The sequence below is a fragment of the Homo sapiens genome, chromosome 5, assembly GCF_000001405.40.
Source record: "Homo sapiens chromosome 5, GRCh38.p14 Primary Assembly".
Lineage (NCBI taxonomy): Eukaryota > Metazoa > Chordata > Mammalia > Primates > Hominidae > Homo > Homo sapiens.
In genome coordinates this window covers 74,766,316-74,794,153 of record NC_000005.10, presented here as the reverse complement: position 1 = coordinate 74,794,153, position 27,838 = coordinate 74,766,316, and the positions used below count along the sequence as shown (strand labels likewise).

Genomic DNA, 27,838 nt, shown 5'->3' with positions numbered 1-27,838 from the left:
ATCATGTTTGCCAGGCTGGTCTTGAACTCCTGATCCGCTCCTCTCGGCCTCCCAAAGTGCTGGGATTACAGGCATGACCCACCATACCCACCCTCATGAAATGATATTTTTATGTTTATTTTTGTAATATTTCTTTTTTTTTTTTTTTTTTGAGATGGAGTCTCGCTCTGTCACCCAGCCTGGAGTGCAGTGGCACAATCTCGGCTCACTGCAAGCTCTGCCTCCTGGGTTCATGCCATTCTCCTGCCTCAGCCTTCTGAGTAGCTGGGACTACAGGCGCCTGCCACCATGCCCTGCTAATTTTTTCTATTTTTAGTAGAGACGGGGTTTCACTATGTTAGCCAGTATTGTCTTGATCTCCTGACCGTGTGATCCGCCCGCCTTGGCCTTCCAAAGTGCTGGGATTATAGGCTTGAGCCACTGTGCTCAGCCTATTTTTGTAATATTTCAGTAGTTTTTGGGGAGCAGATGGGTGTTTGGTTACATGGATAAATTCATTAGTGGTGATTTCTGAGATTTTGGTGCACCCATCATCCAAGCAGTGTATACTGTACCCAACGTGTAGTCTTTTATCCCTCACCCGCCTCCTACCCTTTCCCTCAAGTCCCCAGAGTCCATGATAACACTCTTATGCCTTTGCCTCCTCATAGCTTAGCTCCCACTTATGAGTGAGAACATACGATGTTTGGTTTTCCATTCCTGAGTTACTCCACTTAGAATAATGGTCTCCAACTCCATGCAGGTTGCTGTGAATGCCATTATTTCATTCATTTTTGTGGCTGAGTAGTATTCCATGGTCTATATATACCACTTTTTTTTTTTTTTTTTTTGAAATGGACTCTTGGTCTGTCTCCAGGCTGGAGTGCAGTGGCACGATCTCAGCTCACTGCAACCTCCAACTCCCTGGTTCAAGTGATTCTCCTGCCTCAGCCTCCCAAGTAGCTGGGATTACAGGCACATGCCACCACACCCAGTTAGTTTTTGTATTTGTAGTAGAGACGGGGTTTCACCATGTTGGCCAGGATGGTCTCGATCTCTTGACTTCATGATCCACCCACCTCGGCCTCCCAAAGTGCTGGGATTACAGGTGTGAGCCATTGTGCCTGGCCTATATATACCACATTTTCTTTATCTACTCACTGGTTGATGGGCATTTAGCTTGGTTCCATATTTTTTGCAGTTGCAAATTGTGCTGCTATAAACATGCATGTGCAAGTGTCTTTTTCATATGACTTCTTTTTTTCTGGGTAGATAGCCAGTAGTGGGATTGCTCAATCAAATGGTAGTTCTACTTTTAGTACTTTAAGGAATCTCCACACTGTTTTCCATAGTGGTTGTACTAGTTTATGTTCCTACCAGTAGTGTAAAAGTGTTCCCTTTTCACCATATCCACTCCAGCATCTATTTTTTATTGTGGCCATACTTACAGGGGTAAGATGGTATCAAATTGTGGTTTTGATTTGCATTTCCTTGATAATTAGTGTATTAGTCAGGGTTCTCTAGAGGGACAGAACTAATAGGATAGATGTATATAAAGGGGAGTTTATTAAGGGGTTTTAACTCACATGATCACAGAGTCCCACAGTAGGCCATCTGCAAGGTGGGGAGCAAGGGAGCAAGGGAGCAAGGAAGCAAGGAAGCCAGTCCGAGTCCCAAAGCTAAAGAACCTGGAGTCTGATGTTTGAGGGCAGGAAGCATCCAGCACAGGAGAAAGATGTAGGCTGGGAGGCTAAGCCAGTCTAATCTCTCCATGTTCTTCTGCCTGCTTTTTATTCTGGCCATGCTGGCAGCTGATTAGATGGTGCCCACCTGGATTGAGGGTGGGTTTGCCTCTTCCAGTCCACTGACTCAAATGTTAATTTCTTTTGATAATACCACCCTTACAGCCACACCCAGGATCAATACTTTGCATCCTTCAATCCAATCAAGTTGACACTCAGTATTAACCATTACAAGTCTACCCCTTGTCAGCCTGAACCCATACACACTTGCTGAGATCATACATAATCTTCAAATAAAGACAATAATAAGGTAATAATTATGCCTAACATAATACAACTGTCATTCGTACAAGTGGAAACCCCCAACCCAAATAATATTACATAAACACTTAATGCTGATATGATGTCAATAAATCTTATGTCACATGATAAAGGAAAAGGGAAATAAAATGAAGATATTTTCTTAGTACAAATGTATACATGCACAAACATGTTCTTAACAAAATAAGGAAGAAATACTCATGACAATTACAGTCCTGGTTTCTGCAGCTGGTCACGTGGTCGAAGCTGGAGTTGATGACTACCTTCTTCTGCTACTCATTCTGTATTCCCTTTGCCTTCAGCAAGCACCTTAGTGGGTCATGTTTTTTTTTCCTAGTGGAGTAACCCAAACCTTCATTCCTGAAGGGTCTGGGCCATTTGTAGTCTTGCCTGGATTGGGCTGTTGTAGTTTCCCATTGACCTTAATCACAGGGCATCGTAATACTAAGAGACACCCCAAGGGATCTCCTATATTCCATGCATACTCTTCCTTACCTCCATTGTGGAGTAGTAGACTGATTTCATCTTGATAGTCTGGGTCAGTCACCCCAGCCAACACTGTAACTCCCTCCTTAGCCTGTTGACTTAAAGGTAGGAGGAGCCCAAAGTGTCCAAGTGGCAATCTTAACTTCCAGTTTAATGGAATCATTGTTGTGTCTCCTGGTGGCAGCGTTCGTCTCTCTGGAACTAATACCACTAGGCCAGCAGAACGTAATGTCATGGGGACAGGAAGCAAAAATGTTTCTAGTGGATCACTAGGGGTGATGGTGAGTGATGCCATTTCCACTTTTACCCCTGGATTCCTGGACCTGTGAATCCTGGCTATGGGAGAAACAGTACCATATACTGGATGCTTATTCAGAGCATACCCAGCCTGCTGGAGACCTTTGCCGCAGCCCTGCTAAGTATTATCACCTAGTTGGCGTTGTAATTGTGACTTCAAAAGGACATTCCACCATTCTGTCAATCCAGCTGCTTCAAGATGATGGGGAACATGGTAAGAATAGTGAATTCCATGAGCATGAGCCCACTGCCGCACTGCTTTTGCCGTAAAGTGAGTGCCTTGTTCAGAGGCAATGCTGTGTGGAGTAGCATGATGATGGATAAGGCCTTCCGCGAGTCCACGGGTGGTAGTCTTGGCAGAAGCATTGCGTGCAGGAGAGGCAAACTCATATCCAGAGTAGGTGTCTATTCCAGTGAGGACAAACCTCTGCTCTTTCCATGATAGAAGAGGTCCAGTGTAATCAACCTGCCACCAATTAGCTGTCTGATCACCCCAAGGACTGGTGTCATATTAAGGGCTTAGTGTTGGTCTGTGCTGCTGGCAAGTTGGGCACTCAGCAGTGGCCTTAGCCAGGTCAGCCTTGGTGAGTGGAAGTCCATGTTGCTGAGCCCATGCGTAACCACCATCCCTGTCACCATGGCCACTTTGTTCATGGACCCATTGGGTGATGACAGGGGCGGCTGGGTAAGGAGGCTGTGTGGTGTCCACAGAACAAGTCATCCTATCCACTCGATTATTAAAATCCTCCTCTGCTCAGGTCACCCTTTGGTAGAGTACTCACAGGGGATACAAATAACTTCATTTTTTCACCACTCAGAGAGGTCCATCCACATACCTCTTCCCCAAATTTGTCACCAGTTTTCCAATCATGCTTCTTTCAAGTCCCTGACCGTCATCCAAACCATTGGCTGCAGTCCATGAATCAGTATTATCACACATCTGTCTATTTCTACTTCCTTGGAACGTGCACAACCAGGTGCACTGCTCGAAGTTCTGCCCACTGGGAAGATTTTCCTTCACCAGTGTCCTTCAGGAAAGGGGCTATAGGGCTGTAGCTGTCCACTTTTGGGTGGTGCCTGCATATCATGCAGAACCATCTTTGAACCAGTCCCTAGTCTTCTCTTCCTCTGTCAGCTGATTATAGGGAACTCCCCATAAGGCCATCGGTGCAGGCTAGGGAAAAGAAGGCCAGGGTGGCAGCAGTGGAGACCATGGGCGTTTGAGCCACTTCCTCATGTAACTTACTTGTGTCTTCAAGACCTGCTCAAGCCCGATCACATATATACCACTTCAATTTGATGATGGAATGCTGCAGTGCATGACCCACTTTATGACTAGATGGGTCAGAAAGCACCCAGTTCATGATAGGCAGTTCAGGTCACATGGTGACTTGATGACCCATAATCAAGCATTCGGTTTCTACCAAAGCCCAGTAACAGGCCAAGAACTGTTTCTCAAAAGGAGAGCAGTTATCTGCAGAAGATGGCAGGGCCTTGCTCCAAAATCTTAGAGGCCTCCACTGCGATTCACCTATGGGAGCCTGCCAAAGGCTCCAAACAGCACTTGTCTCTCTAAAGGAGAGTAGTTATCTGAAGAAGATGGCAGGGCCTTGCTCCAAAATCCTAGAGGCCTCCGCTGTGATTCACCTATGGGGGCCTGCCAAAGGCTTCTCACAGCATCCCTGCCTGCCACTGACACCTCAAGCACCATTAGATCTGCTGGATCATATGGCCCAAGTGGCAGAGCAGCTTGCACAGCAGCCTGGACCTGTCGCAGAGCCTTCTCCTGTTCTGGATCCCACTCAAAACTGGCAGCCTTTTGGGTCACTCGATAAATGGGCTGGAGTAACACAACCAAATGAGGAATTTGTTGCCTCCAAAATCCAAATAGGCCAACTTGTGCTGTGCCTCTTTCTTGGTTGTAGTAGGGGCCAAATGCAGCATCCTATCCTTTACCTTAGAAGGAATATCTCAACAGGCCCCACACCACTGGACCCCTAGAAACTTTACTGAGGTAGAAGGTCCCTGAATTGTAGTCGGATTTATTTCCCATCCTCTGGCATGCAAATGTCTCATCAATAAGTCCAGTGTGTTTGCTACTTCTTGCTCACTGGATCCAATCAGCATAATGTCATCAATGTTATGGGCCAGTGTGATAACTTGTGGAAGTGAAAAGCGATCAAGGTCTCTTTGAACAAGGTTATGACACAAATCTGGAGAGTTGATATACCCCTGAGGTAGGATAGTAAAGGTGTGTTGCTGGCCTTGCCAGCCGAACGCAAATTGCTTCTGGTGGGCCTTATGGACAGGAATGGAGAAAAAGGCATTTGGCAAATCATTGGCTGCATACCAGGTACCAGGAGATATGTTAATTTCCTCAAGCAATGAAACCACATCTGGTGCAGCAGCTGCAATTGGAGTCACCACTTGGTTAAGTTTATGATACTCCACTGTAATTCTCCAAGATCCGTCTTCTGCACAGACCAAATGAGAGAGTTGAACCGTGATGTGATGGGAATCACCACCCCTGCACCGTCCTTGATGGTGGCACTAATCTCTGCAGTGCCTCCAGGGATGCGATATTGTGTTTGATTGACTATTTTTCTTTCTTTTTTTTTTTTTTGAGATGGAGTTTCGCTGTTGTTGCCCAGGCTGGAGTGCAATGGCACGATCTTGGCTCACCGCAACCTCCACCTCGTAGGTTCAAGCGATTCTCCTGTCTCAGCCTCCCTAGTAGCTGGGATTACAGGCATGTGCCACCATGCCCGGCTAATTTTGTATTTTTAGTAGAGATGGGGTTTCTCCATGTTGGTCAGGCTGGTTTCGAACTCCCGACCTCAGGTGATACGCCCGCCTTGGCCTCCCAAAGTGCTGGGATTACAGGCATGAGCCACCGCCCCCGGCCTGATTGACTATTTTTCTAGGTAGAGGCAACTCTAATGGTTTCCATTTGGCCTGTCCCACCATAATAGCCCTCACCCCACCAGTCAGGGAGCCATTGTGGGGGCTCTGCCAGCTGTTAAGTATGTCTATGCCAATTAATGCATTCTGGCACTGGGGAAATGACCACAGGATGAGTCCGGGGACCCACTGGACCGACTGTAAGTCAGACCTGAGCTAAAACTCCATTAGATTACCTGATCTTCATAAGCCCCTACTTTAACTGGAGGACCACAGTGACGTTTTGGGTCCCCCGGAATCAACGTCAGCTCAGAGCCAGTGTCCAGTAGTCCCTGAAATGTCTGATCATTTCCCTTTCCCCAGTGCACAGTTACCCTGGTAAAAGGCCAGAGGTCTCCTTGGGGAAGGATGGGAGAAAGACTCACAGCATAAATTGTCTCTACTGTAGTGGGGTCCTTCCTCAAGGGGCTTCATTCAAGGTGTTCTGGGTCTATAAAGTGGCTCAAGTCTGGAAATTGAGGGGCTGTGATTCTCTCTTTTTTTTAATAATTCAGATTAGTCTTTTGTCCACTCGACCTGGAAGTTTTCCACTTATATGAATTAAGTAGGAATTCAGTAGGCTTCCTATCAATTCCACTTCTGGGAACACTGTGATTAATTAGCCAGTGCAAAAGCTGTACACAAGTCAGATTATTCTGATTGCTGCTTTGCCTCTGCTGCGGTCCATTATGGTAGCTCGCCCACCTTGCATTTGATGGTTGAGTGCTCCCACTTGGCCTCTGCCACGTCAGGATCCAATTATTCCCGTTCTAAATTTTGTAGTTGAGTGACTGCAGTTCCCACTGTTAGATTTGGCATACAGAGAAGAGTAATCATAGAGCTCTTTGAAGATTAACATGCTGCCCTCACAAATCTCTTTCGCAAAGCATCGGTCAAGGGTATATCTTCTGGACCCTCCCAGCTGGGATGAGTAGGTCTAAAGTGACTAATCCACTCCACCATCCCAATCTCTCTAAGCCTTTGGATCTCTTCCTCTACATTAAACCAAGGGAGATCAGCATTTCCAGCTCGCTCAGAGTGAGCCATCTTTTAATCCGTATTTCAGCTAACCAAGCAATCAAGCTATTAGAACCTTTTTAAATTCCCTGAGCAGCAACATTAAATGCAGAGTCCCTACTTAGTGGGCCCGAATCAATAAATTCAGCCTGATCGAACTCTATGTTCCTTCCACCATCATCCCACACCCTTAACATCCGTTCCCACACCTGTTCTCCAGATTCCTGCTTATATAAATTAGAAAACTCTAGCAGTTCTTTTCAAGTGTAGCACACCTCCTTGTGGGTCACACTCTGAACTTCACCTCTAGGAGGCCACCGGGACTTTAGTCCAGTTATAGGTCTAGAAGCAAACAGGGCTGGCTCTCTTCTCCTGAGGTGATGTTACCACTACTGGGGATGGCGAAGCTGTTTCTTCTGGCAAAAAGTCTCATCAGAGTTTACAAGCTCTGTGTCCCCAGCATCATCAGGGTCCTCCCACGTGTCCCCATTCCAAGTTGCAGGGTCCCATTCTTTTCCAATCAGGGCCCTCACTTTAAGAGTAGACACCTGGCGAGGCTGTGCATGCACCTTTCGTTGCAGGTCAGCCACTTACATGATAAGAGGTTGTGTCTGATTTTCCACAATTTCAGCTCTTTGTCTACAGGAGATAAGACTCTCACTTGGGGCTTTTAAAGCGAGTATCTGCTTTTGAAGCCAGGAGTTAGAATCCCTGAGTTCATCATTGTCTTTCATCACTTTGTCCAGTGAACTTAGGAGCAGCCAACTAACTTCATTATGTTCCTTGGTTCTCCATATGGTCAAAGGTATTATGTTTAGAGTCACCAAACTTCTTCCCTCTCACGAGCGGTGTATCAGGAGTGTCAAATGCATTTATTTTGCATAACTCTAAACAGTTCATGCCAAAGACTATCAGTGTTCTCCATACTATTAGAAGTAGAGTCCTTAGCATTTTGGTGTCTGATCATATTAAGGAGCCAACTTCAGAAACCCCAAAACCTACGAAAGAACTCCATCCTTAATATTCTGTTCCTCTAGAACCACTCCTGGTACCAAAGCCTGTTAGGGTTCTCTAGAGGAATGGAACTAATAGGACAGATGTATATATAAAGGGGAGTTTATTAAGGAATATTAACTTGCATGATCACAAGGTCCCACAATAGGCTGTCTGCAAGCTGAGGAGCAAGGAAGCCAGTCTGAGTCCTGAAGCTGAAGAACCTGGAGTCTGATGTTTGAGGGCAGGAATCATCCAGCACAGGAGAAAGATGTAGGCTGGGAGGCTAAGCTGGTCTAATCTCTCCACGTTCTTCTGCCTGCTTTTTATTCTGGCCATGCTGGCAGCTGATTAGATGGTGCCCACCCAGATTGAGGGTGCGTCTGCCTCTCCCAGTCCACTGACTCAAATGTTTATCTCCTTATAGACACACCCAGGAACAATACCTTGCATCCTTCAATCCAATCAAGTTGACAGTATTAGCCATCACAATTAGTGATGTTGAGCATTTTTCCATGTTTGTTGGCCATTTGTATATCTTCTTTTGAGAATTATCTATTCATGTCCTTATCCCACTATTTGATAGGAAACTATATATATACATACGTGTGTGTGTGTTTTGAGACAGATTCTCTGTCATGCAGGCTGGAGTGCAGTGGCACGAACTCAGCTCACTACAACCTCCACCTCCTGAGTTTAAGCGATTCTCATGCTTTAGCCTCCCAAGTAGCTTGAATTAGGCATGTGCCACCATGCCAGGCTAATTTTTGTATTTTCAGTAGAGATGGGGTTTTTGCCAATGTTGGCCAGTCCGGTCTTGAACTCTGGACCTCAAGTGATCCTCTCCCCTCTGCCTCCCAGTGTGCTGGGATTACAGGCATAAACCACGGCGCCTAGCTGGAAACTGTATTTTTAAATGGTACTTTTATTGTAGAAAATTGGGAAAATGAAAAAAAGCACATATAGGAAGTTAAAAGCACGTATTTTTTAAAAACAGGATTTGTATGCATCTAGATGTTTATGGAAATACGTATTTGTGGGGTTTTCTTTTTTTTCTTTTGAGACGGAGTCTCGCTCTGTTGCCCAGGCTGGAATGCAGTGGTGCAATCTAGGCTTAACTGCAACCTCTACCTCCCAGGTTCAAGCAATTCTCTGCCTCAGCCTCCCGAGTACCTGGGATTACAGGCGCCTGCCACCATGCCCAGCTAATTTTTGTATTTTTAGTAGAGATGGGGTTTCACCATCTTGGCCAGGCTGGTCTTGAACTCCTGACCTTGTGATCCACCTGCCTTGGCTTCCAAAGTGCTGGGATTATAGGCGTGAGCCACGGTGCCTGGCCTTTTTTTCACTTTTAAAAAGTTAAGATTATATTGTACATACTTCATGTAACCTGTTTCATCAATAAGACATATACCAGTGACAGTGACAACTATCATTTTCATTTTTTTTTTTTTTTTTTTGAGACGGAGTCTTGCTCTGTTGCTCAGGCTGGAGTGCAGTGGCGCGATCTTGGCTCACTGCAAACTCCGCCTCCCGGGTTCACGCCATTCTTCTGCCTCAGCCTCCCGAGTAGCTGGGACTACAGGCGCCTGCCACCACGCCCGGCTAATTTTTTGTATTTTTTAGTAGAGACGGAGTTTCACCATGTTAGCCAGGATGGTCTCGATCTCCTGACCTTGTGATCCGCCCGCCTCGGCCTCCCAAAGTGCTGGGATTACAGGTGTGAGCCACCGTGGCCCAGCCTATTTTTTTTTTTTTTTTTTTTTTTTTTAGCCTGGGTTGATTACCCTCTCTTCCTGAAGTTCTCTAGTCTCCTCACTTTATAATACTATTGCACTTTGGTTTCTTGTTTTTTTTTTTTTTTTTTTGAGACGGAGTCTTGCTCTGTCTCCCTTGGCTGGACTGCAGTGGCATGATCTCTCTGGCTCACTGCTACCTCTGCATCCTGGGTTCAAGCTATTCTGCCTCAGCCTCCCAAGTAGCTGGGACTACAGGCGAGTGCCGCCATGCCTGGCTAATTTTTATATTTTTAGTAGAGAGCGGGTTTCACCATATTGGCCATGCTGGTTTCTTGTTTTTTCTGTCTCTGAAGTATTATTTTTATTTTTTGACTCTTCTCCTACTTGCCTTTTCCCCCTTATTGTGGACACTCTAGAAAAAGTCCTTGATTTTCTGAACTTTGGTTCATTTTATCTTTTTTGAAAATACATCCGATCTCATGACTTCAACTGTTTTATCTATGGGAATGACCAGTAACTCTAGATTATATGTCTCTCGACTCTGGTCATTTTTATGAGCTTTATATTACCTTCTGTGTGAACTCTATTCTGTGTATCATATGATATAATAAAATAGATATTTTATAGACAATTTTTATTTTAGAACAATTTAATAAATTTTTTACTATAGAAAAATTAAAAACCGTGATTTCTCTTTTGGAAAAATTTCCTTGATATGCTTTTAGGGGTCCTACACAGTCAAATCTATTTGTGAACACTTGAATGCATCAGTTTTATAATTTTAATAATGGTAATAAAATTCCCCTTAATTATTAGAATGTCAGGATTAGAAATACTTGATATTAAATAGAAGTAAATGGATAAACATTGGGAGAATTTTAGAAATTGGAGAGTTCATGTTATCAAATAGCATTTCCATACTTTAATGATATGCAAGGAGCAGGACTGTTCAGAAATGACCCTGGTGTTGACTGAGACTAGGGCTCTCTCCTCCCAGCAAGATGCAGCACCCAAACTGAACTTCCCATAAGACTGGTAGTGCTTCCTACCTCTGGCACAGAAAACTGTAATTTCCCATAGATTCCAGATGCTGAACAGCTGGTGTTATGTAAAGAGCTAGCATCAAGTCTATACTCTGTCTGGTGCCTTTTTCCTGAAAAAGTTCTTTCCCTGATTGCCCTCTAAGAAGGAGGAACAACAAGTGGGTAGGGTCTTTTCATTGAATCTCCGACCCATACTGTGTGTCCACAGAGCATCCTGGTCCTGCCCCATCTTTCCTTAAGAGCAGTGGGAGTACGGGGTACTCAGGATTATTTTATTTTGCTGATATTGCCTTATGAGTTTCCTCCTTCCCCCAGTAAGACTGTTCTTTAACCCATGTCCTATAATGTAAATTTGAGTCTTGGTGTAGGATAGGTAGGCACTGAGAAGGGACCCGTCATGCATGACAAATAAGTTAGTTTGTAATCATGTCCTTACTTTTTCCCTCTCTCCTCATGGTGTAGGAATCTGAATTAGAGCCTATGAATGGTGAGATAATGGACGATTCTCTTAAGACCTCACTTATAACAGAAGAGGAAGACTCCACTAGTGAAGTTTTAGATGAAGAATTAAAATTGCAGCCTTTTAATTCCAGTGAAGACTCTACAAATCTTGTTCCACTGGTGGTAGAATCTTCAAAACCCCCTGAGGTAGATGCACCAGATAAGGTAAGGGGGCAATGAGCTATTTTTTAATAAAGTTTACCAATGTTGGTGACATTAGCGAGGAGGGTGCATGGTATATATATTTGCTTCCACCTTTACATGTACAGTGCTTTAGGAAGATTAACTTTTATACTAGATTTGATATTATAAGAAAATCAGTAATATTCTATAAATTCAAATAATAACCTTATTCATATCTGATATGTGGTAACAAAATGAGTTTTATTACTTTTAATACTTTGTAGTTAGGAAATGCTTAGAAAATTGGATAAAGCATTATTTACCAAATATTTGAGTACCTATATTTGTTACATAGACTATGACCAAAACAGTAATTTATATTTGTTTTAATTAGGCAGACAGATTAGGTTAGTGGGGGAAAAAACTTGTTGGAGTATTTTAAAAGAAATTTAATTTTGTTACTTTTGAATATTACAACTTATGGCTAAAAAACTGTTGTATGGCATTATTAGTGTCTCACCTAAGCAAAAGAATAAAACTTCCATTGCCCTAACTTATCTAATGAAATCGTAGTCAAACGTAGTGTGGTAGCGCAGTGAAGTCCCAAGGTATTTTTGGTTCTGGCTCCAGTAACACCAGGAAACTAAAAAAACTGAGTTGATTCATGGTTTTAAAGAATCTTGATATGAAGCTTAATGTGTCTTAATTATGAAATAATTATTTCATTATATCCTCAAAGTAATAACTTAGTATTAAAATTACCATGTGAAACAATTTTGAAGAAATTGAGTTGTATTCAGAATATATACACATATAGCAGAACAGAAATTCAAAAAAATACTCGATTTTGAGTAATGAATACCGAATTAAATTCTAGTTCAGTGTCACTGCATATTAGAGCCTGAGAATTTATTTTTAGAACTGTAGTACAAGTTTATTTGTTGACCAGGTTTTTAATTTTCAGACCCCACGTATACCTGACTCAGAAATGTTGATGGATGAAGGCACATCTGATGAAAAGGGGCACATGGAAGAGAAATTGTCCCTACTTCCAAGAAAGAAAGCACATCTTGGGAGTTCAGACAATGTTGCTACTATGTCAAATGAAGAACGATCTGATGGTGGTTTTCCAAACTCTGTGATAGCTGAATTTTCCGAAGAACCGGTCTCTGAGAATTTGTCTCCTAATACTACTTCCTCATTGGAAGACCAGGGTGAGGAGGGGGTATCTGAGCCCCAGGAAACATCTACTGCTCTTCCTCAGAGTTCTTTGATAGAGGTTGAACTTGAAGACGTGCCATTTTCACAGAATGCAGGACAGAAGAATCAGTCAGAGGAGCAGTCTGAAGCATCTTCCGAGCAACTGGATCAGTTTACACAATCGGCAGAAAAAGCTGTGGATAGCAGCTCAGAGGAAATAGAAGTGGAAGTGCCTGTGGTAGACAGGCGGAATTTAAGAAGAAAGGCCAAAGGGCATAAAGGACCTGCTAAGAAGAAAGCTAAGCTGACCTGAAGGAAGAAGAAAGTGGATGATAAATCCTCTTCTTTGTAACATAGTTGTTGTTTTTAAAATATGGTAATTAATAAACAGCATGGGGCACAGGACAAAAATTTCCAAAATTTCAATTTGAACTTACTTACTATGCAGTTTTTTGCTTCCCTTTAGAACGTAGAATTCACCATTGTTTTTAATTTTCCAGGCTATTTTTGGTAAATGCAATTTTTTATTTTTATTAACCATGTTTCAATTTTGGGAAACCAGATCATATTATATTTTCTTTATCAGGTGGTACATCTGACCATTATTTCAAAAATATAATTAAAAAGCTGTGAAAGTAGTAGGATTTCCATTACTTATAAGGATCACAGAAATCTTTTATACTAAGGGTTTTAATAGTAAAACTTGGTGAGGGTTCTAGAAGTTTTAAATTTCAAAACTAATCACCAATTTTTTAAAATGTAGGCATGCCTAAACAAAAATAAGTGTCAATAAATTAGAAAAAATATAACTTCAAGTAAATGAGAGCACAAAAACAGAAACTTACGGTCAAAGGTTCATGAAGATATTTTGGTTTTGGCCTCTTAATCCTAGATATAGATGCAGTTTTTTCCTTTGACTTCACTATCTATGGAAAGGTACACATAAAATCTGTTTCTGATTCATTCTATCATCTGATGTTAACAGTACTGTCAGGGATTTAACTGTGGCATGTGGGGACTAATTATTTAAAATTTCATTTGAAGTATTAGTTTGCTGTAATTTTTTTTGTCTGCATATGTGCAGACGCCTAGAAGTTTAGACTTTCACCTTTAATCAGGTAAAAATCACAACTATACTTTGGAGACATGGTTTAATTTGGACTTCTGGTCCTGATCAGATAGATAAATTAAGCTGGAGATTTTACTTTTATCCCAACCCAGTTAACATCTATATTTCAGAAGTATGAGGCTCCTTCCTAAGGCATCTCCTTAAATCTTGCCACCTCCCTAATTCTACAGTCTTATTTATATTCCCCCACAGCTTTCATCTACTTCTGTAACTCATGGAGTGATTCTCCAATCAACAGATCTTCCTGCCTGCCGGCTTATGCCCTTGATGTCCATTTTTGGGTAGGTTTGGAGGTGCACCCCACAATGTTAGACCTATATGGCAGGAGTAAAACTGCCCCCAGTGTTAGACCTATATGGCAGGGGTAAACTGCCTTTGGGGGAGCTGTGGTTACAAGGGCTTCAATCATATTGGAGGCTTCAATCATCCTTTGATTTGTACTGAGTACTGGTTGCAAGCTGGCCTGTTAAGTATATATTGTGTTGCCATAACAAAGGCCTAGGAAAATTTGAAGAAAAAAAACACTGAACTGTTATTTTTTGTAATTTATTTAAAAATGGACAAAATGGTTATTAGAATCCAAAGATAATCTAAAAACAGTTCTACTCTTTGGAAATATTATGTGTACTCAAATTTGCACTTAAGTTGGAGAATGTTTTGAGACCATTTAAATTGTTTTAAAAATAGCTTGATCTTGATCCTTATGCAAAAGAAACTAAGACTTTGTGTCATTATTTGAGGTAGCTAAGGACTGATGTTGAAAGTGTATTCAGTCTATAGTAAGCTGATGTCAGGTCAGTAAATTTTGTTTGGGGATGTTGGTATTTTCGATCAAGTTAAAATCTTAAAGCAGACAAAAATAGTAAACGCTCCTATTTGTGTTAGATTTTGAACAATTGTATTACCCTATATTTTCTTTAATTAGTCAAAGGTAAGCCAGATTATTTCATTCTAAATGAAAATTAAAGCACTTTGGCCATTTATTTTTTCAACAAATGCTAATACTAAGTAAAAAAAAAAAAGTATGACTACTATTAGTGAATCTACCAAACATTTATGCTGTTTTATACATTTTATGAGAAACTTCTGTCAATATCACAAAGGGAAATACTCTGTTAAGATTCAGTAAATTCTTAATCTTTACATGTTTCATTTCTTAGATTTGAAAACACTTGTAGATATTTTATTTTTACTTGGATTTGTTTAAAATACTTTCTTTTCAAATTATTTTAAACATGGAAACGCTTCATGAATTTGTGTCATCCTTGCACAGGGGCCATGCTAATTTTCCCTGTATTGTTCTAATTTTAGTATATGTGCTGCCGAAGTGAGCACTAAAAGACTTTCTTTAGACAAGTGTAGTTTTTTAAAGATTGAGCTCACTGGCTCAACTCTTGATGTGTGAATATAGTTGAGTTTACAAAAAATGTTTATTAATCATATATGACCATTGGGGGCTAACAGTATAAACTTATTCTTGTTAAACTTGTTTGGGTTAAATAGTAAGTGAATTGTAAACAATTTAGAAGTTTTTTGTTCAGCACACAAGAACACTTCTGTTACAGATTCTCTCTGACAGAAATTGTTATTTTGGGGTTTATAGATTATAGAGGGAAAAGTTAGATCACTTGGAAAAACCTAACTCTCATGTTCAGTAACTTGAGTATAGAATTTATACCACAATTTATCTTCAATAAGGAACCTACATGAACTTAATCAGTTATCTGTAGTTTTTGCAAGGCATTAGAAAAAATTTCACAATTACAGAGGACTGAAAATGTGATTTCAACCGGCTAGTCTAGTTGTTGAATGTCCAGTCACATTACACATAGTCCTTTGTGAACTTATTTGTGAAGGGAGTTCACTTTTTATGTACATACGTGTATATTTCCTTGTGTAATATAAAGCAGATGGTTATTAGTATTTTAGTTCTTTCAAGTTTAAATTATTCAATTGCTAGACATCACAGAAATTAGTATATTTAAGAATTTATTATAAAGCTCCTCTACAACTTTTAAAGGTGAGAGGGTCTATTATGATTTTTTTATAAAATCAAACAGCATGATTTAGAACGTCAGTCTTCTACTTAAAATGTGTCTATATTCATGGTATTTCCATTCAGTGTAGATGGTAAGGAAAACATCTAGTCATTAAAGATTTACTTATAGCAGACTCCAGAACACTACCTACAATGGGGTTTCAGTGACTAGAAATCTTGAAGGTTTATGATTGCATCAAATTGAGCCTGTACTAATATCTAAATATCTGCTCTTATGTTCTGCTTTATCCCTTGGGATTACCTTCTAAGGTTTGGTCACACCAGCAAACTGAAACAGATCTTAATGTACATAAAAAATTTATACTAATATTACTCATCTGTGTTACAGTATTTTGAAAAATGTTTCAGGTGTCATCTAGTCGTCTTTCATGGGTGTGATTAGTTACAAATGTTATGCTTATGTTTTCATACTTAATATCAAGCTTTCTTTGTACCTTACAAGATAGTATTTTTGGTTCTAAAAAAAACAAGCAAACTTCATTTTTGTAGTATCCAGAAATTACCTGGAGTCAGTATTTTTATTCGCCTTCTAGAACTTGTGATCCACACATCACCCATTTATATTAGTGGTAAAATTATCTGCTAAAATCTAATTGTAAGAAAGGCTTACCTTCTGTCATCAAGTGATTGTATCATCCTGGATCGTCATTTCCAAGGAACTAGCCTTTCTTTTCCTAAGCGTCTGTATGTGTTCTAAAACTTCCAGTATATATTTATAGAACTTAGAAAAAATGTTACATTATTCAGAGTAGCAAGTCTTACTGGAGTACCTATGTTTGTTTTCTTGGTTTTTATTTTTTTTTAAGTTTAAAAGTAGTAATTAAACCTATATTTTGTGATTGTTTCCTGGTCTGTGTTTTTAAATTCCTTTCCTTCAGTTTTCCTCATGAAGATGTTTCAGATACTGAATTTGTTTAGACATTGAATGACTTTGTTAAAGGCACAATTAATCACATTGGTTGTACTCTGAAGACAGACTTCTTTAAAAAAAAAATAAACAATTTAAAACAATGTGGTGATTATAGATTAATGTAATATACGCCATCCTTAAAACCACAACATATAACAGATCACAAAAGTGCTTTCACCAAGTTACAACCGTAAATCCTTACCTTTTTACATCATCTAAGTAACTGCAAATAAATTTCTCCTCAGGGAATCAGTGCAGTCTTCTTTTTCCTTTTAAAACTTAGCTGGAGTTACTTAAACTAATTCTTAATACTATTCTGAAAGTATAAATATATTGTTTAGAATACAGAAAATGCTAAGAGAGTACAAAGACTTTAGTATATTTTTTTCATTTTCATGATTCAAGTAGAAAATAGTGCCAAGTAGGTATTATTATACATGGTAAATGAGATGAAAAAAATGTTTAGAATGTGAATTCACTAGACCTTTGCTGTACTGGATTTCACAGGTGAAAAGATTTCTCTAAGATTTCTGAACTTTTAGTGTCTTCTCACATACTTCTAGTGTAAACAAACACTATAAACTTAACATCTGTATTAATGCTACCTACCTTTTTTAGGATTAATGATTAACGAGATTTTGAAGATACTTCAGTTAAATTCTCAGACACATAATTGTGTATTAACCTTTTTGAAAGGCATTTTCAATGAACACTGGTGGTTTTTTCAGGAAATTGCTGAATACCCACTCACAAATGCAGATATTGATGAAGTAGGATATTTGTATATTTGCTTTTTTTCAATCATTCAGTTTTATGAACATGGGGTCAAAGCGTATTTCAAAATAAAGACCATTTATAAAACTGGACCACTTTAATGTTTACAATTTAATAAATCTCTTCATTGCAGACATGTATGGCTGTTTGGTAGTATTCAGAAACATCACAGTAATGGCAGTTTCTTCAATTGGTGTGTAGTCCTCAATAATTATATATGAAATTGCTGTCAAACCAGTAAGACTGCATTTATACATCCATCATTTTCAGGATTGTTGGTAACCTGGGCATATTTTCCTAAGGAAAACAAAACCAAAAAAGGGAAAAGGGAGGGTTGTTAGCTAATAAAAATTAATTTTAAAGAATATAACTTTTGCCTTTTTTTTCTTTTTGTCTTAATACAGGGTTTCACTCTTATTCCCCAGGCTGCAGTGTGGTGGCGTGATCTGGCTCACTGCAACCTCTGCCTCCTGGGCTCAAGCGATTCTCCTCACTCAGTCTTCCGGGTAGCTGGGACCACAGGCACACGCCACTGCCTGGCTAATTTTTTTGTTTTTGTATTTTGTAGAGATGTGGTTTTGCCATGTTGCCCAGGCTGGGCTCGAACTCCTGAGCTCAAATGATCCGCCTGCCTTGGCCTCCCAAAGTGCTGTGATTATAGGTGTGAGCCACTGCGCCCAGCCATGCCTAAAATATTTCTAATTACCACTTTCAATAAATAAGAAATGAACCATAAAGGATAAATGAGATTTTACAAAATTCAATCATTTAAGGACAAATTTGAGTTCTGAATACAATTTTCATACAAATAGTGTTTTTGCAAATAATGGCCAGCTCCATGTTATTAGTACATTGCATTAACAGGCTTTTGTGGATTGACCTGAGCATTGTCACTTTTTCACATAATTCTTCCTGGAAAATGTATCAAGTTTCAAATGAGTTTCAAGTCAAGGTAACAACATATTTTAAAACTGAGGTCAGCTGACATGAAGTATAAACCAATGACTGAAGAAGTTGTAGCGTGTATTCTTCCCTTTCAAAGAAATTGGATCTGGGTACTAAAGGTAGAAAACTAAGCAAATGAGGGCGTTTAAAATTACTGCATGACACATTTCTGTTTTAATTATTACTGATCTAGTGTGATTATATGTTGTATGCCTCCCTCGGCTCATGGTTAATTTATTCTATTTTTTTTTTACAATTTTTTTTAGTTATAACTTTGCATCTGCTTCCCTTGTAATAAAGAATTTTTATTAAAAAAGATCAAAATATTTTTATTTTACTTATTTTTGAGATGGAGGCTTGCTCTGTCTCCCAGGCCGGAGTGCAGTGGCATGATCTCAGCTCACTGCAAGCTCCAGGTTCATGTGATTCTCCTGCCTCAGCCTCCCGAGTAGCTGGAATTACAGGCACCCACAACCACACCTGGCTAATTGTTTTGTATTTTTAGTAGAGACGGCGTTTTGTCATGTTGGCCAGGCTGGTCTCCAACTCCAGTCTCAAGTGAACCGCCTGCCTCGGCCTCCCCAAGTGCTGGGATTATAGGTGTCAGCCACTGCGCCCAGATAGCGAGGGGGCTTTTTAAAGCCTGGAAGCTTCTACATGATTTCTGAGACCTGTTAATGGGAATTAACAGAACGAACTAAACTGTGTTAAATCACTTTCAATTATTATTATTACTTTTTGAGACAGAGTCTCGCTCTGTCATCCAGGCTGGAGTGCAATGGCACGATCTCAGCTCACTGCAAGCTCCACCTCCCAGGTTCAAGCGATTCTCCTGCCTCAGCCACCGGAGCAGCTGGGATTACAGGTGTGGGCCACAACACCTGGCTAATTTGTGTATTTTTAGTAGAGATGGGGTTTCACCATGTTGGCCAGGCTGGTCTTGAACTCCTGACTGCAGATGATCTGTCCGCCTCAGCCTCCCAAAGTGCTGGGATTACAGGCTGAGCCACCGCTCCTGGCAGTTTCAATGATCAGTTTACCTACGTGGGACAGATAGTTCTATTTCTTTAAATGTAATAGGTATTTTCTCTTAATGTTAGCATGTAAATATAAGAAGTATTTACATAATATAAAGTTGTGGCAAAAGAAATTTTTTCTTACGGAAGACATCTTTAGTCATTGGCTAATACTTCATGTAAGCTGACCTCACTTTTAAAATATGTTTGATATATGCCTCCCTTCCTCTGCTCATGGTTAATTTATTCTATTTTCTTATAATATTTCTTAGTTATAACTTTGCATCTGCTTCCCTTATAATAATTTTTATTAAAAAGGTTAAAAAAATTTTTTTTGAGATGGAGATTTGCTCTGTCTCCCAGTCTGGAGTGCAGTGGCACAATCTCAGCTCACTGCAAGCTCCGCCTCCTGAGTTCAAGTGATTCTCCTGCCTCAGCCTCCCAAGTGGCTGGGATTAGAGGTGCTCGCCACCACACCCGGCTGATTTTTTTGTATTTTTAGTAGAGGTGGGGTTTTGCCATGTTGGCCAGGCTGGTCTCAAACTCCTGACTTCAGGTGATCCACCCGCCTCAGCCTCCCAAAGTGCTGGGATTTACATGCGTGAGCTGCTGTGCCTGGCTAAAAAGGATAAAAATAAATCTAGCAGAATGTATTACACCTTATGTAACTAAAACCAGTAAGCTAAATTTTAAAACAATTGTATTTATAACAACTTTTTCTATAAAGTATTTTTTACTAAATATTTACATCTGATTTACAGTGTTTTAGCTCTACTGCATTAAAAAAATTTGCTGTATATTTTATTAATACATCAACTTGAATAGTATTTCTATTAGTACTGCAGAACACAGCAGCCCTGTATTCAAAAATTCACTTACCCCAAATAACTTTGCCTCCTTGTGTCACAAGGCCCAATTCGCTCACATTTACTTCAATGACAGTACCTTTGGTAATAACACCCAAAGTTGTATACAGTGGGGATGAGGGATTCTTCTTTACACCAAGTATTGGTAGGCAAAAGGTGGCTTTCAGTTCAGGATGTGTTACATGGGCTTTCTTGAAACGCAAGCCCTAGTAAGTCAAACACAACATAAGAATGTTTACGTCCAAAATGTTAACAGTGATGAGTAGTGGTCGTTTTCGCTTATCTTTTTCAACCATCTCCAAAAAACTATGGTTGAATAATGTCATCTTAAAGAAGCTAACAAAATATGTTTTACAGAGTAAAAAGCTGATGGTTACAGTATAAATATGTGGGGAAAACACCCACACAAATACTTAAGAATTTCTTTTTCTTTTGAGACAGGGTCTTGCCCAGTTGCCCACGCCAGAGTGCAGTGGCGTGATCTTGGCTCACTGCAGCTTGGACTTCTTGGGCTCAAGACATCCTCCCACCTCAGGCTCCTGAGTAGCTGGGACTACAGGCACGCACCACCATGCCTAGCTTATTTTTTTTTTTTTTTTTTTTGGTAGAGATGGGGTTTCGCCATGTTGCCTGCTGGTCTTGGACTCCTGGGCTCTCAACGTATCCACCCACCTCAGCCTCCCAAAGTGCTGGGATTACAGGCCACCACAGCTAGCCTCTGAAAAGTTTTTTTTTTTTTCACCCTGTAATAGCTACCTAGCAACATACCCAGATTTTTACTGTCTAGTCATCTACACTTAGACTTACTAAGGACTTTATATATACCAGGCCACTATGCTAGCTCACAACTGGCTCACTTAAACACAATAACCTCACAACAAACACATCCCCTCTCCTCTGTTTTCAAATGATGTAACAAGGATCAGCAGGTTAAATGACTTGTTTCCAGATTAAATGGTGAGTGGTAAACAGACTCAAACCTTAATATCCTGATTCCAAGTCTTTATATAACTCGGCTACCTTCCATGATGAAAAAAGGAGTGGACTGTCAGCTTTCTTTAGGTTGATGGCAATATGAGACTGGAGGAGACCCAGAGGAGTCTTTGTTACAGAAACTGGTTATGGAGTCACCCAGTCACCTAATAAGGTCTTTTAGGGTGTAGTACTTTAAACGTCACAACATTTTGCAGTCTTCATTTTTGTGTGCATGGGGATGGGGGGAAAAAATCACTAAATCAGTTTCTTAGTAACAGACTCATTAATCAAGCTTGTAAGAAACTGACACCATTCAGGATGCCATCTGATTATAATGACAAATCTGTGAAACTACAGAAAACCTAGAATAGCCTGACTTGTATATTCTCTCCCTGTAGAACTGTTAAGGCTACCAAAATATATTCAGACTATGAATATGAAACCAAAACAAGTCGAGTCCATGATATAATCCGGGGTGGGCAAACATTTTGTGTAAAGAACCCAATAGGTAAACACTTTAGGCTTTGTCAGGCCATATGGCCTCTGTTGCAACTGCTCAATTCTAGGGGTAGGGGTTATGCAATATGTAAATGAACAGGCATGACTGTGTTCCATTAAAATTTTATTTACAGAAACAGGCTATTTGCCAATATTTTAATCTATTAAAAATTACTCACGTTGGCCGGGCACGGTGGCTCATGCCTGTAATTCCAACACTTTGGGAGGCTAAGGCGGGCGGATCACGGAGATCGAGACCATCCTGGCTAACACGGTGAAACCCCGTCTCTACAAAAAAATACAAAAAAATTAGCCGGGCGTGGTAGCGGGCACCTATAGTCCCAGCTACTCGGGAGGCTGAGGCAGGAGAATGGCGAGAACCCGGGAGGCGGAGCTTGCAGTGAGCCGAGATCGTGCCACTGCACTCCCGCCTGGGATACAGAGGGAGACTCCGTCCCAAAAAAAAAAAAAAAAAATTACTCAGGTTGAACACTAGGATTATGGCATGTTGCAACTTTCCTCTCTCTGATACTTTGTTTTTTTGAGGCTGTGTATCTAACTGGGAGAATAGTTCAGTCTCTTTGAAGGGATTTTGCAAAAATATATCTTCAACTATGTTTCTCCCCAGGGGTGGGGAAGTTTGGGGTCACATTACTATTGCTGCCTTCAACAGAAATTAAGCTATATTAAATTATCTTCCTTTTTTCAAAGATTTTCTTTTTCTTTTTTTCTTTTTTTTTTTTTTTTGAGACAGAATCTTGCTCTGTCCCCCAGGCTGGAGTGCAGTGGCATGATCTCCACTCACTGCAAGCTCTGCCTCCCAGATTCACGCCATTCTCCTGCCTCAGCCTCCCAGGCAGCTGGGACTACAGGCGCCCGCCACCATGCCCGGCTAATTTCTTGTATTTTTTTTTTTTAGTAGAGATGGGGTTTCACAGTGTTAGCCAGGATGGTCTTGATCACCTGACCTCGTGATCTGCCTGCATCGGCCTCCCAAAGTGCTGGGATTACAGGCGTGAGCCACCGCGCCCGGCTTTTCAATGATTTTCAAAAGCATTTAGATACTTTCCTTATCAAACTGGAATTGACTCTTATAAAACAGTCCTACTCAAGTTTTCGAACTGCTGTCAAAGACAAGAAGTGTTTTGAGACCTAGACAATATCAGGCATATTGTAGATCACTAGTTTAATGAGGAAAATATGACTGTGGAAAATGAAGATTCTAATATGTCATGTTTAAAAGTCAGAATTCACTGACAATGTCTTATGATACTACTTTTTCAAATCTCTCACGAAGCTGAAAAGATTTTTTTTTTTTTTGAGACGGATTTTTGCTCTTCTTGCCCAGGCTGGAGTGCAATGGCGTGATCTCAGCTCACTGCAACCTCCGCCTCCCAGGTTCAAGCGATTCTCCTGCCTCAGCCTCCCTAGTAGCTGGGATTACAGGCGCCCGCCACCACGCCCAGCTTATTTTTTGTATTTTTTAGTACAGATAGGGTTTCACTACATTGGCCAGGCTGGTCTTGAACTCCTAACTTCAGGTGATCCACCCACCTCAACCTCCCAAAGTGCTGGGATTACAGGTGTGAGCCACCGCACTGGGCTAAAGATTTTTGACTAGTGGAAAAAGTACTAAATAACTTCTGTCAATAAAATAACAAAAATTGCATAAAAATATCTTTCAACCTGTTCCACATCAATTTAAAGAATTTCAGGAAATGATAATGTTCTTTATCCGATTTAATAAAGTCAACTAACATTTCGGTCATTACACTCTTCCAAGGACTTACCATTGGCCTGATGAATCTTTCATATTTAGGTGGTTTTCTTGTAAAGCCATCTCCAACAAAGCACACTTTAGTAACCATTCTCTTCCATGCCTTCTTCTTTCTCTTTCCTGTTCGAATAACTTTTAATACTTCTGTTTCTCCCTGGGCACGTACTTTAGGCAGAGGGACTTCCCATTTTCCCTAAAAATATGCCACAGTTAAAAGTTTATATTGTTATTAAAGGACAATGAGAATAAGTCAAATATGTTTTAGTTGTACAAAGTAATAGATCTATTTTTTTTGCTTGACCATCAACACATTTTTGGCTCAACCGTCTTCTAGAGGTCTGTATTGTCTCATAAGCTGCAAATTAAACAGAACAAGTTTATATATCATGGGTATGTTAAATAAATGGTTGGCTTAAGCTAAAAATCTTAATGCTGTGTTATGGGTGAGAAAATACCACCTGTAATGTGGTGGTTTTTTTTTTTTTTTTTTTTAGATGGAGTCTCGCTCTGTTGCTCAGGCTGGAGTGCAGTGGTACAATCTTGGCTCACTGTGCAGCCTCCGCCTCCTGGGTACAAGCAATTCTCCTGTCTTAGCCTCCCGAGTAGCTGGGACTACAGACACACACCACCACACCCAGCTAATTTTTGTATTTTTAGTAGAGGTGGGGTTTCACCACATTGGTCAGGCTGGTCTTGAACTCCTGACCTCAGGTGATCCACCTGCCTTGGCTTCCCAAAGTGCTGGGATTACAGGCGTGAGTCACGGTGCCCAGCCGATAGTGACTTCTATAAGCAGTATATGTGTTTACTAATGTTTAATAGCATAATACTGGAAGAGTGTTTCCACCTCTTAATATGTCTCTGTATTTCTTCCCGAGATGGATCTGTAGATCACTAGCAAGACAAAATCCTCACCAGATGTTTTATGCCTCCCTTGAGTGCAAATTCTATGAAAAAACTGAAATAGTGTAAGGCAGTAAAAATAATTCTTTAAATATAAATACTGCATATTCTTTTATCTGGATTTCTGCTAATCTATTTACAGGTGTTTTAAAAAGCCACATTTTTTGTGACAACTCAGGGAGTTTTCCACCATTCTACTTTTTAACCAAGTTTGGCACTACAGGGCAGCACAAATAAGAAGCATTTGTATTTTTCTTTATGACTGCATAGCACTGTGGGTTTTCAAACAGGAAGACAAATATTGAATTTGAAATTCACTCCTTACCAGCTTTTTAATTTCATATGGCATTCTAATAAATTTTTTTTATAACTTAAATTTTAAAACCTTATGATGAGAAAGCAAGTTTTTTATTAAATTTACAAAGACTTCAACATCTAAATAATGGGAATAATAGCTGTACTTCATGTTTGAAATTAAACCGAGAAACAAGAACCTCAAATTTGAATTTAAGTAATTCTCCTAAACAAAACAAAGACTTCAATTGTTATTGCTTACCGCCTTCTCTTTTCTTTTCTGTTTAATCATATTGGAAAGTACTTTAGCTCGAGATTGTCCCTCTCTGTCCAGCAGATAGGCAGGTACTGCTCCCTGTGGTGTCTTTTCATCATTCTTTTGTTTGGTGTTTCTCTTTTCATGCATCTTGATACTACCAAGAAGGAAAAAAGATTCAAGATTATCTGTTTTAATAATGATTACTCAAAAGATGTTAACTTGTTATGACAAATAAATGAGACCACTTACGTCTTTTTCATTTGTATTTTCTCAGCATGACGCTGTTTATGGTAAAGCTTAGCCTTCAGACCAATCATTTTCTTTGCCTTCTTTGAACGTTCATGAGCCTCTCGACTTTCCTTCTTTCTCTTTTTCTCATGGTAATCCAAACGGTATCCATAGCGTTTACGGTGTAATTCAATATATTCATTCTGTGGCTATAATGATGGAAGAAATATTATTTTAATTTTTTAAAGTACTGACAATTATTCTAAAATGCTTTCTTTTACACAGCACAAAGACCCTGTTTCATCCAAATGTTCACTTACTTAAATGATTCTTGCACCATTAAGTTTATTCACATGATGTAAGTTAAATTTTGGTCTTGAATGATATGAGGCATCAGGGCTTACATCTCTAATAATCTCATTAGGGAATGGTCCAAAATCTACTGGACCACAAAAGGGATGAACTGATTACAGTATCTTTTTTCCTTGACATAATTTGCTTTTTTAATAACACCTTCATTTCACATTTAAAAAATTTAAGTCAGTTTTATTGAAGCATAATTTACACACAGTAAAACCTGTCCTTTTTAGGTATACAGTTCTAAGTTTTTCCTAACTACACAGTTCTGTAACCACCACAATCAAAATACAAAGAATTTCCATTTCCCCCTAAAATTCCCTATGTAACTTTTAAGTCAATCCTCTTTCCCAACCCTCAGTTTGATACCTATCCCTACAGTTTTGCCTTTCCCAGAATGAAACAGGGATCAACAGTAGTACATAGCCTTTTGAATCTGGTTTCTTGCTTTTGGGATTCACCCAATTTGCTGCAGGTATAGGAACTTCAATCCTTTTTATTGTTGAGTAGTATGCTATTGTATGGATACACCACTGTTTACCCGCTGACCAGATGATAGGTATCAGGGTTGTTCCCAGTTTTGGGTGATTACGAATAAATCTGCAATAAACAACTGCATGCAAGTCTTCATGTGGACGTGTGTTTACTGCCAGACCGTTTTCCAAAAGTGCATTATTTTTCTTTTCACCAGCAATGTATGGGATGCTTTTTGCATTTTAGACACGTTTTAAACACGCGGCCAGGCGTGAGTCTATTCGTATTTTAAGGCTGCAAAAATAAAAATGATACAAAGCCAAGTCCAGCACAGAGAGCAATGTTAAGTAACAACCAACAAGGTGTGCTGCTACCAACTGCTATCACATAAACTTTGCAGCAATCACATGAAGGGTGTATGGAATGCCATTTTGCAAAGAAACGCAGATTATAGAGACGTAACACAAAGAGAAAGGACCTGGCAGTTAGATCTGGGCCGTTAAGCCCGGCTTCGCAATTCATTAGCTGTCTGGTCTTTGGCAAGGACGCCTTCAGTTTCCTCAGCAGTAAAATGAAGGGGGCGGGACTGACATCTAAGACTGTACAAGGGACAACCATATTCCCATTAGGCTCTGGGGCTGATAACCACGCTTGTGGTGAAATCAGGAATTTTTAGGACTCTTAGCGGTGGATCAAAAAGAAAAAAGAAAACAGGACAGAGTAAAATCTTGCTCCAAAGCTTGTGTTCTGGCAAATACCGTCTGTGTCTCGAATGTGAAGTTGTTTCCACTCCTCAGAGCCCACCCCACGGGTCTACCATCCTTTTCTCTTGGCAGTTCTCATTTCCGCCTACCACCGCTCACCCCCTACCCCAGCGCCCCAGAGTCCTCAGGTCCCACTAACTCAGACGCTGTGTGTCGCGAGCGTCCGAGGCATCCTCCTTACCATGGTGACGGCCGCAGAGCCGCCAGGAGCAGCCGCTGGAGTGCGAAAACGCTCTCAATTTTCGGGTCTCAAAGACCCACAAGCCCACACCACGCAGGCCGGGACAGGAAAGAGTCACCCTTTAAAACGGCCGAGTGAAGAGCAAGAACCACGCAGCGGTTCCGAGCCTCTGTTTTCCGCTTTTAGCTAGGAGGACGGAAGTTGCTGGCAGGCGGCATTTGGCCGGTACACCGCCGGAAGTGTGGAGGTGTGGCTGCCCGAGGCGGTAGAGCGGAGAAAGCCTATTTTCTTTTCGTTTAGATACATTGCCTTTTGCCTAGGCTGGCGTCGAGACTTGAGGCCGTTGCAGACTTTGGCGCGGCTCGCGCCTCCTGCTTCAAGAGCCCAGCGGTGAGAGCTGGCCTGCGGCACGCGGCCTAATGCCAGGTGAGTACTGCTCCGAGCTGTGAGACATCGCGCGCCTGTGACCCTGTCACAGCGCTGGGTACCGCTGACCTTTCAGGCTGCGACGGACACAGCCAGCCACGGAAGAGGACAACAGGGCCTCCGGACTCCCCTCGGTGTTCGCTCAGTATGGAAGTTTTTCTCTATCATTCGGCGAAGTCGACTCATCTTTGTTCCGGTCACTCTGTGTAATGTGTGCATGATTGTGAAGGATACTGAGGAATGAAAACTTAGTGTACAGAAAAATGGAACTACTGGGGCTTTGCAGCTGTTAGAAAAGAAGAAGATAACATTCTGGTTTTTTGGAGGTACAGGACTGATTCCAGAAATTTCTGAGGCATTTTGGTGCACCGAATCAAATGCTGAGTGGACTTGTATTTAGTGGCCCCCTAGTGTCAAGAAGTAATTAACTACCAGAAAGTACGTCTACTTAAATACACTATCAGGTTTACCCTTTTACTGCACAGTTGCAGAAGTTCCCTTAATTACTTCACAGCTTGCAGCGTGATTCAGTTGATGAACAAAAAGAACTGTACCAAAAGAATACTTTCATTAATTCTTAGTGCTTGTATTTGAGGCAGTATTTTGTTTTTGTTTTTGTTTT

The 27,838-nt window shown here is 40.6% G+C and overlaps 3 protein-coding genes and 1 pseudogene across 31 annotated transcripts in view, besides 1 other annotated feature; 2 read left to right on the top strand and 2 right to left on the bottom strand.

Moving 5' to 3' along the window:
• The window catches only part of FAM169A (family with sequence similarity 169 member A), an 89,393-nt gene extending 72,813 nt beyond the window's left edge, over positions 1-16,580 (top strand). For 14 of the 15 annotated variants that reach the window (NR_046462.1, NR_164754.1, XM_047417083.1 and 11 more), the window contains 2 exons: positions 11,020-11,223; positions 12,146-16,580. Coding sequence is in view for 12 of the 15 variants with exons in the window: in XM_047417083.1 (XP_047273039.1) it covers positions 11,020-11,223; positions 12,146-12,694 (753 nt within the window). In the remaining 3 variants the exon portion in view is untranslated. Of the gene's footprint in view, positions 1-2,712; positions 3,040-11,019; positions 11,224-12,145 lie in introns of all 15 variants that reach the window. The other variant, NR_164753.1, reaches the window with a different exon arrangement.
• Positions 14,041-26,905, bottom strand: NSA2 (NSA2 ribosome biogenesis factor). Of its 6 annotated transcripts, none has more exons than NR_073403.2 (7): positions 26,791-26,905; positions 25,036-25,223; positions 24,790-24,940; positions 23,344-23,523; positions 21,733-21,841; positions 20,094-20,286; positions 14,041-17,550 (listed from the first exon to the last, which is right to left on the bottom strand). NR_073403.2 is itself a non-coding variant. In NM_014886.6 (6 exons), the coding sequence occupies exons 1-6, from the start codon at positions 26,791-26,793 to the stop codon at positions 17,483-17,485; spliced, it is 783 nt and encodes a 260-aa protein (NP_055701.1). In that variant the 5' UTR covers positions 26,794-26,905; the 3' UTR covers positions 14,041-17,482. The 6 variants fall into 6 exon arrangements, 3 of the variants coding, with proteins under 3 accessions (NP_055701.1, NP_001258594.1, NP_001351435.1); NR_157205.2 differs by having other exon boundaries at positions 21,733-21,839; NM_014886.6 differs by lacking the exon at positions 21,733-21,841.
• Positions 14,741-14,845, bottom strand: RNU6-1330P (RNA, U6 small nuclear 1330, pseudogene; annotated as a pseudogene).
• Positions 26,885-27,324: an enhancer, noted in NCBI's record as "active region_22675". NCBI's record gives its function as "activates an Ori minimal core promoter by ATAC-STARR-seq in GM12878 lymphoblastoid cells {active_cell/tissue: GM12878}" and the evidence as "EXISTENCE:reporter gene assay evidence [ECO:0000049][PMID:35858748]".
• Positions 27,037-27,838, top strand: part of GFM2 (GTP dependent ribosome recycling factor mitochondrial 2) — a 45,912-nt gene continuing 45,110 nt past the window's right edge. For 6 of the 10 annotated variants that reach the window (NR_104006.2, NM_170691.3, NM_032380.5 and 3 more), the window contains exon 1: positions 27,037-27,216. The gene's annotated coding sequence lies outside the window, so the exon portion shown is untranslated. Of the gene's footprint in view, positions 27,655-27,838 lie in introns of all 10 variants that reach the window. The other 4 variants (XM_047417835.1, XM_017009986.2, XM_047417834.1 and 1 more) reach the window with 2 other exon arrangements.

Coding starts and splice junctions, on each gene's coding strand:
- NSA2 (NM_014886.6), bottom strand. Junction 23,524..24,789: donor AGAAAAGAAAAGAGAAGGCG/GTAAGCAATAAC, acceptor GCATATTTTTAG/GGAAAATGGGAAGTCCCTCT. Junction 20,287..23,343: donor AAAGATTCATCAGGCCAATG/GTAAGTCCTTGG, acceptor TTGACTTACTAG/GGCTTGCGTTTCAAGAAAGC.